Source organism: Homo sapiens, chromosome 20 (assembly GCF_000001405.40).
Source record: "Homo sapiens chromosome 20, GRCh38.p14 Primary Assembly".
Lineage (NCBI taxonomy): Eukaryota > Metazoa > Chordata > Mammalia > Primates > Hominidae > Homo > Homo sapiens.
Genome location: NC_000020.11, coordinates 60,686,189 through 60,694,246, shown reverse-complemented (window position 1 = coordinate 60,694,246; position 8,058 = coordinate 60,686,189). Strand labels below are relative to the sequence as shown.

The following is an 8,058-nucleotide window of genomic DNA, read 5'->3' as shown; positions in this document are numbered from 1 at the left end:
TAAATCATGTCAATTACACAGATTTCCCAACTGAAGCCATGGGTCCAGTACCTGGGACATTCCTAGTCCCTGGGGCAAAACAATGTCAGTTTCTTACTGCTATCCTTAAAAGATAACCATGTATGGAAAACTAACATTAAGCTACAGAAAAAAATTCAGCTAACAAATATTAAGTCAGTGTTCCAAGGGGTTTCTTGAGAATAAAAGTGATGAAATGGAACTTCTGCCCTCAAGAGACCCACAGCAGTTTGAAACTAATGGGCCACTTCCCCCTCACCTCCTCCTCCACATTCCCTCTTCTTTATTATGGAAATTTACCATTTTTCTCCCTCCTTACTAAAATGTATTCAGATTCTGGTTTACTCCCTGAGCCTCCCTGAAAATTGTTTTCTCTTCCCTTTTCAACCGCCAACAATGGGAAGAGGCCTCCTGCCCCAGGATGTCCCAGCATTTGGTTAGGTCTGGCTGACGTCGACCTGAAACTCCATTATTTCACTGGTTTCAGAACCTCCCTCTGGCAGCTCCCAGGTGAGATTAACACCTCCTGTAGCTCCTGGGTCTCTGCAGGAAGTTCTGTTCTGCTCCCATCTTCTTCGAGCAGGATTTGCGTCATTTTTCCATCCTGGAGGCTGTTCTGCCAGACTTCCCTGCATCCACCCTAAAGTGGAGCCACGCGACTCAGCAGGGCGTTCCTGTGGGGTCGGAGCCCTGCAGGTGGTCCCAGTTCTGGAAGCGATCAACGCTCATGTTAAGGTCCTGCAGTGTCACCACGCCTCTGTGACAGCCCCTTTCAGAAGTTTTCATTGCCTTTGCTTCAGGGTCACTCTCCACAGGTTGTCACGTTTGCCTGTCCTGTGCTTTGGCTTGTCATTCTATATACCCTTAATAAGTCTCCTTGTTGAAGTCATCCCAGCATTTCGGGCTGCAGTTGTTTTGTTTGGGTTTTGATTACGATCTATCGACAAAGTCATGGCCATTTTTCTTGGCTTGGCATCACCCACGGGTAGTGATGTGGTTCAAGATGGGAACTGTGTTCACTTCCAGGGGCTGCCATAACAAATCACCACAAAGTCGGTGCCTTCAAAGAACAGGAATGTCTTCTCTGGAGGGCAGAAGTTCCAAATCAAGGTCTCAACAGGGCTGTCCTTCCCTGAAGGCTCTAGGGGAGAATGCTTCCCTGCCGTTCTCAGCTTCTGGTGGCTCCAGACATTTTTTGCATTTTTTTTTTCTTTGCTGCATCACTCCAATCTCTTCTCTCTCCTTCCTCTATAAGTCTGCATCTTCCCCTTTTTTGTCTTTTATGTGAAAACAAATACAATTCAAAAGCTGCTGGAACCCCCAGAAACACTTTAAGCCTTGACAGAGATGTGATCGTGAGCTCAGTCACATATGGACACAACTTCTGTTCTCCGATTATAGATTAACTGGCTTTCTTATTTTTCTTGTTCTGTACAATGCCTAGAAAGAATTAAATGACGTCAAGGACAGAAACCTCCTGCCTTTCAAATTAATGACACTTTTATCGATTAACTTCCCCTTGCTGTCCTGCTTTGCTTAGACCAGATGACAGAAAACCCATGACTATCACACCCTCTGTAAGAAATGTTAAATGCACCCTTTCCCAAAAGAAACACTGCCTATAACCAACCAAATTGCTGTAACTATGCACCAACCTTGTATGAATGAGTTTTCATCCTGCTAAAAAAACTCCTCCCTCTCTGCTGCTGTAAGTGAAACCTTCACTTCCCTACTTGGGCAGGCTGACTCCATTCCTTTGGAGCTGGTGTTTCTCGGGGTGGTGGGGTGGCAGCCTCACACCAATTTATGCTGGAGTAAACTCACTTTAAATTAGATTCTGACCCTTTTGACTATTTCAGGTTGACATCTGTCAGCACATTTGTCCTTGGATTTAGTGTCTGTCAGGCCTCTGAGCCCAAGCTAAGCCATCATATCCCCTGTGACCTGCGTGTATACATCCAGATGGCCTGAAGTAACTGAAGAATCACAAAAGAAGTGAAAATGGCCTGTTCCTGCCTTAACTGATGACATTACCTTGTGAAATTCCTTCTCCTCACTCATTCTGGCTAAAAAGCTCCCCCACTGAGCACCTTGTGTCTCCTGCCCCTGCCTGCCAGAGAACAACCCCCTTTCACTGTAATTTTCCTTTACCTACCCAAATCCTATAAAACAGCCCTACCCCTATCTCCCTTCGCTGACTCTCTTTTTGGACTCAGCCCGCCTGCACCCAGATGAAAGAAACAGCCTTGTTGCTCACACAAAGCCTGTTTGGTGGTCTCTTTACACGGACACGAGTGAAAATGTCCACTCAGATAACCCAGTGGGATCTCATTTCACGACTCTTATCTTAATTATATCCTCAAGGACCCCTTTTCCAAATAAGGCGTAATTCACAGATTCCAAGGGTTATAAGGTGGACATATTCAACCAACTACAGGGCCCAAGACAAGATCGGTGTCCTTATTACACCAAAGTACAGGCTGGAATAGTTAGGGACTACATCTAACATTTCAATGAGATTTAATTTTTCCTAGAAATGTTATAATTCTCCTTTGATCACTTTCTCAATTGGCTTGTAGTCATAGGATGTACTTATAAATAAATGGAATAAGTTTTTCTTTTTAAAGATGCTGCCAAAATGCACGTATAAATTAGTAATGTTGGAATGTTCTCCAATGATTCCAAATCACTTTTGGATTATCCTTGGAACCATTTTTTAATTTATATTAGACGCATCAGAATTAGTATTTTAGAGCCATACCTTTTATGCAAATTATTCTGACTCTGAGCTTCTTCCTGCATAACTAACATTATTGTGTCTCTTGTGTATATCCTAGAATTGTACTTTAAATAGAGTTAAGGCATTATTTGCAAAATATTGCCATGATAAGCTTCCCTTTGCCATATGATCAAGGCTAAGGCATCACTAAGAAGTTTTATCATCTCTGCAAGGCTATCCAATGTTGAGACAAGAGTTGCTGAGACCATCTTTTCTTTTGGATCTTTTGACTACATTTTACCTGTGTTTTCTAAGGATATTTTAATAGGTTTCATCAGTGATTTCTTTTTTTCCATTGTACAGTATTTGAAAATCCTTCCTTCCTGAAGCTCTGATTCTGAAATATATTTACTGTCTGCTTGACTTGGACTGTGTACGTTTAATCTTGAGCTTCAAGAAGGACAGCTGTCTCACTTTAAGCTGCTTGTTAGTTCTAGTGTTTGCTGAACATTTGCCAAAATATATAAGAACATTCTTAGCAGAACTGGCACGGGGTGCAGACTTGCTTCTGCTTACTGGTGAAGCCTGTCCATTGGGGGTGCAGTGGGCACCACCCTGAATGGTTCATCTCAGCTCAGCAAGAAACAGTGCTAGTTGCTCCTGATGAGTCAAACCAGCAACAAAACTAAGAGGGTCGAAGTCAGTCCCAGGAAAGGATCACTGCATTGTTACTTAAATACCATAACTGTTTTTATTTGTTTGTTTGTTTATTTATTTATTTATTTATTTATTTATTTATTTATTTTGAGACAGAGTTTGGCTCTTGTCACCCAGGCTGGAGTGCAATGGCGTGATCTTGGCCCACTGCAACCTCCGCCTCCTGGATTCAAGTGATTCTCCTGCTTCAGCCTCCCGAATAACTGGGATTACAGATGCTGGCCACCACACCCAGCTAATTTTTTTTATTTTTTACTAGAAACAGGGTTTCACCATGTTGGCCAGGCTGGTCTCAAACTCCTGAGCTCAAGTGATCTGCCCACCTCAGCCTCCTAAAGTGCTGGGATTACAGGTGTGAACCACCGCTCCTGGTCCCATAACTGTTTTTAAAACACAAATATTCCCAGATTAGATAACCTCCCTACTCCAGAAAAATCAACTTCATATCACAAAAGAATTTGGCAGCAGAGGGAGGATCTCTTGAGGCCAGGAGTTTGAGACTAGCTTGGGCAACAGAGTGAGACTTCCTCTTTCTGGAAAAAAAAAAAAAAGAAAGAAAGAAAAAGAATTGAAAGTAAAAGGATGGAATTATTCATAGCATTGACCAGAGATACATTCTCTCACTTTTGAACATAGATCCAGAAACCTAAATTAAATATCAGCAAGCTGAATGTTCCCACACATGTGCGCACACACACACAAACAATTAAATCATAAGACAGGCATTGTTCACTTATTTCTTATTTTGATATTAAGAAATCTATTAATGTAATTCAACACACTAGTAACTTAAAGAATAGTCATGTCAACATACACAAAATTATGTTACTAAATTAAACATCCAAATAAATATAATCATTTTAAAACCCTTCTAGCAAAATCGGAATAAAAGGAACTTTATTAACATGATAAAATGATTTACAAGCAACATCAAAGCAAAATGCCCTGCTTATTATTCACTATATTGAAAATAAAAACCCATGGGAATTAAATCAGGGATTTAAAAAACAGGTTCCTGCAAAAAAAAATGGGGAGCCCAGAAAGACCCCACACACGGGCCACCGAAGTGCCCTGTACAAAAGCTGAGAAGTGATAGGACATTCTGCCAATGTTGTTACTATACCTGCCTGCCTATTTGAAATATGCATCATCAGATACTTTTCTTTCACACGTAGAAGTAAATTATATGCCCCATATGCTTTTCTTCATATGCAAAAGTAAATCCAAAGTTGACTACAGACTTCAATGCAAAAAGGTGAAACAATAAAACTCTTAGAATAGATTATAAAAGACTATTTTATGATTCTGAATAGAGAAAAATGTCTTGAAATAGACTCAAAGGTACAAACCACAATGGAAACAACTGATAGATGTACCACATTTAAATTTAAAACAACTGTAAAATACGAGATACCTTAAAGCCAAAGACAGCTAGAAACTGAGACCACACATGGACGACACACATAACTGATGAAGGATGAGTATGGAGCACTTATAGAGCAAGGTTCTGCTCTAAACAAGAGCTGTGGATGGACAATTCAGAGAACAGGAGCCCAGGTGAGCATTCAACAGAACAAGATGCTCAAACTTGCCAGTAATTAAGAAAGCGCAAATCAAAATCACAAAGATAGACCCTTTCTCATTATCCATTAGAATAGCAAAAACATTTGTGTTTTATGGGAAGAATGGCTGAAGATGTGGAAAATGGAACATCTATAGGCTGGCAGGACTGCAATTGGAAGTAGAGAACAATTTGGCAAAATCTGGTAAAAGATGCTGGTACATGGATACCTTTTGTTCCATAAATTCAACTCCTAGACAAATAGTTAGATGACAGTGCTTGCTTCTAAACCTAAAAAGACAAAAGTCCCTTCCTGCATTGTTTGCAATGACCATAAAGTGGAAACAGTCTAATAGTCCATGAGTAGGAAGATACAAGACTGGCATCCTTATCTCACCAAAGTACATGCTGGCATACTTAGCTACTACAGCTGAGATTTCAACGAGATTTAATTTTTCATAGAAAGGTTTTAATTTTCCTTTGATCACTTTCTTAATTGGCTTATAGTCATAGGATGTAATTATAAATAATTACAATGGCTTGTAATTATGAGGAGTTTGAGACCCGCCTGGGCAATATTGCTCAATAAAGATTGAGCCACGGGGTAGAAGAGAACACAGTGGCTAAGAGAGATAAGCTGAAGCTACACATACCAACATGGATGGATCTCAGAGGTTAATGCCATGTGGAAAAAAGAGAAAGTTCCTGGATCATGTGAGCAATATGATATCATTCATGTAATCTTTGAGAATGATATGAAATATGCTGTATATTGCTATGAACACTTACATGTAAAAGAATATATTCAAAAACCAAGCATGGACATGGTACTCCCCATCATGACAGCCTGCCCTCTGGCGAGAGAAAGAGGGAGGGAGAGGGGGAGAGAAAGACAGGGAGTATGGAAGGACATCTCCAAATAGGAAAAAAAATACTGAAGCAAAGATAGCAAAGAACTGGTGTATTTGGTGGACACGTGTAGTCATGTGGCATCTTAGACAGCACTTAAAGCTGCCCATGCGTCGTCTCAGAGAAGGCGGATTTGAGGCTGAATCACACCTTCCTCCTTCTTGTAGGCTTCAGTAGGGTAGATGTGAGAATGTGAACTTAGAATCTGGAGGGTCCTAGTCTCTTGACCATAATTGTCATAGTTGGACCCTTGGGTCATCAACTGAAAGCCACACAGGCCAGCGGGGCAGACCCTATAGGCCGCTGATCCCACAGTCATACCAGCTCCCTGTCCTCCTATTCCTCTCACTAAGGAAAAAAGAATGTCTTCCCAGTTTTCCTTGTAGCTAGAGGTAGCTTGTGGATTCAGAACTGGCCAAGGGTGAAAATGTCTGGGTACTTCTAGGAAAGGCAGGAAGAGAGAAGATGCAGGCAAAGAAGAAACTTTTCTCCAGCCTCCCAGGCTGGATAAATGGCTGCTGAACTTCTCTATTCTCATCCACATAAACTCTTGTGTAATGTAAAAGAGAGAAGAAGAGATTTACAGAGAGTGCAGAGTTCCCCAACTCGCCCTGGCTCCCTCCTTCCTTACAACCTAAGTAGGAGAAATAATCTCTCTAGTGATTGTTATGAAAAACCATCTTCATTAATACATTCAATTAAGTTAAAACAGGCAATTTACTAGAGACTTACCGAGATGAACATAGAACAAAAGTCTCCCACTGAGGAGCAAGTGGACATGCTGCCAAAAATACCCTCAACCCCCATCTCCCAGGTTCCTTTCCTCAGCACAAATTCTAGGGACAAAGGACCTGACCCAGCTTGGTCCACATTTCCGACACTGATCTCCAACAATGGATGCAGTCGTGTCACGTGACACAACCTTGGCCACCAGCAGCTTTGAGTCATGGGGTTCAGCTCAAGAGAAGAGAGCTAGATGGACACTCTCCACAAGGTCCACTGCAGAACAGACTGCGATTTTTTTTTTTTATTTCTAGAGTGCAATGGCCCGATCTTGGCTCACTGCGACCTCTGCCTCCCAGTTTCAAGCGATTCTTCTGCCTCAGCCTCCCGAGTAGCTGGGACTACAGGTGCCTGCCACCACGCCTGGCTGATTTTTTAATTTTTAGTAGAGATGGGGGTTGCACCATGTTGGCCAGGCTGGTCTTGAACTCCTGACCTCCGGTGATCCACCCGCCTCAACCTCCCAAAGTGCTGGGATTACAGGCATGAGCCACCGCACCCGGCCAACTCTTCGATTTTTATTTTGAGAAACTCACAGGGCTTCATGCATTCCCTGTTCCTTTTCCCTCCTCCAGACCTCCCCGGGGATTGCTTTTATGATATTTAGCATGAGGGTCAAAGCAGGTTCATCAGCCCAGTGTGGTTGAGCTGATTGTTATTAATTATGAATAAAACAATTAGAAAACTATTAGCAGTATACAAGGTTATATTTTGCCCTGACATCGTAAAAGGCTACGCCTAAAATCCACTTTAAACGGCAATATTTTTGCTTCACTCTCATTGTTAAATACTTTTTTCCCCTTATCTTTAACCTCGACATTATTAAAACTGCACCAGGAATCTATTTAAAAAATCTCACTGTGACATTTCAGCAGAAAAATGACCTTACCATTTTATAGGTGCTGCAATCTTTTGGCAGGATACAACAATTTTTTTTCCTCCTCCAGGAAATCAACATTCTAGAAAATGCTTGTTTAAAACTCTTTATTCTATTGTCATTTGTAAGTGGGCTAGCACTTCCAATCACACAAAATGAAGAATGGCTAAATTGCAAACAATTTCTGTGTCCATGCTTCTTGCAAACTGTCTTTCATCTTGATCATGCTTCACATTTCATCTCCAAGGTGAGCTGAAGTCTTTGCAGGGTTCTGAACTGTGTCTTACGTGCCGAGGAATACAAGAGATTCCACAAGCTAATGAATATAGTTTAAAAGTTGACTGTGTATGATTGCAGACATAAATCAAACTTTTTTCCAAGTGATTTTTTTTTTTTTGCTTGTCGTTTTCTCACATTTACCCTCAAATAATAGAAACAGAGCTTGTAGAATCTTTTTGTCCACATTAGAAAACA

At 41.3% G+C, this 8,058-nt stretch overlaps 3 annotated features.

Moving 5' to 3' along the window:
• Positions 736-1,412: an enhancer, noted in NCBI's record as "NANOG-H3K27ac-H3K4me1 hESC enhancer chr20:59267893-59268569 (GRCh37/hg19 assembly coordinates)". NCBI's record gives its function as "activates a minimal SCP1, AML or CMV promoter by ChIP-STARR-seq in primed H9 embryonic stem cells {active_cell/tissue: H9 hESC(primed)}" and the evidence as "EXISTENCE:reporter gene assay evidence [ECO:0000049][PMID:30033119]".
• Positions 1,413-2,089: an enhancer, noted in NCBI's record as "NANOG-H3K27ac-H3K4me1 hESC enhancer chr20:59267216-59267892 (GRCh37/hg19 assembly coordinates)". NCBI's record gives its function as "activates a minimal SCP1, AML or CMV promoter by ChIP-STARR-seq in naive and primed H9 embryonic stem cells {active_cell/tissue: H9 hESC(naive and primed)}" and the evidence as "EXISTENCE:reporter gene assay evidence [ECO:0000049][PMID:30033119]".
• Positions 2,090-2,767: an enhancer, noted in NCBI's record as "NANOG-H3K27ac-H3K4me1 hESC enhancer chr20:59266538-59267215 (GRCh37/hg19 assembly coordinates)". NCBI's record gives its function as "activates a minimal SCP1, AML or CMV promoter by ChIP-STARR-seq in naive H9 embryonic stem cells {active_cell/tissue: H9 hESC(naive)}" and the evidence as "EXISTENCE:reporter gene assay evidence [ECO:0000049][PMID:30033119]".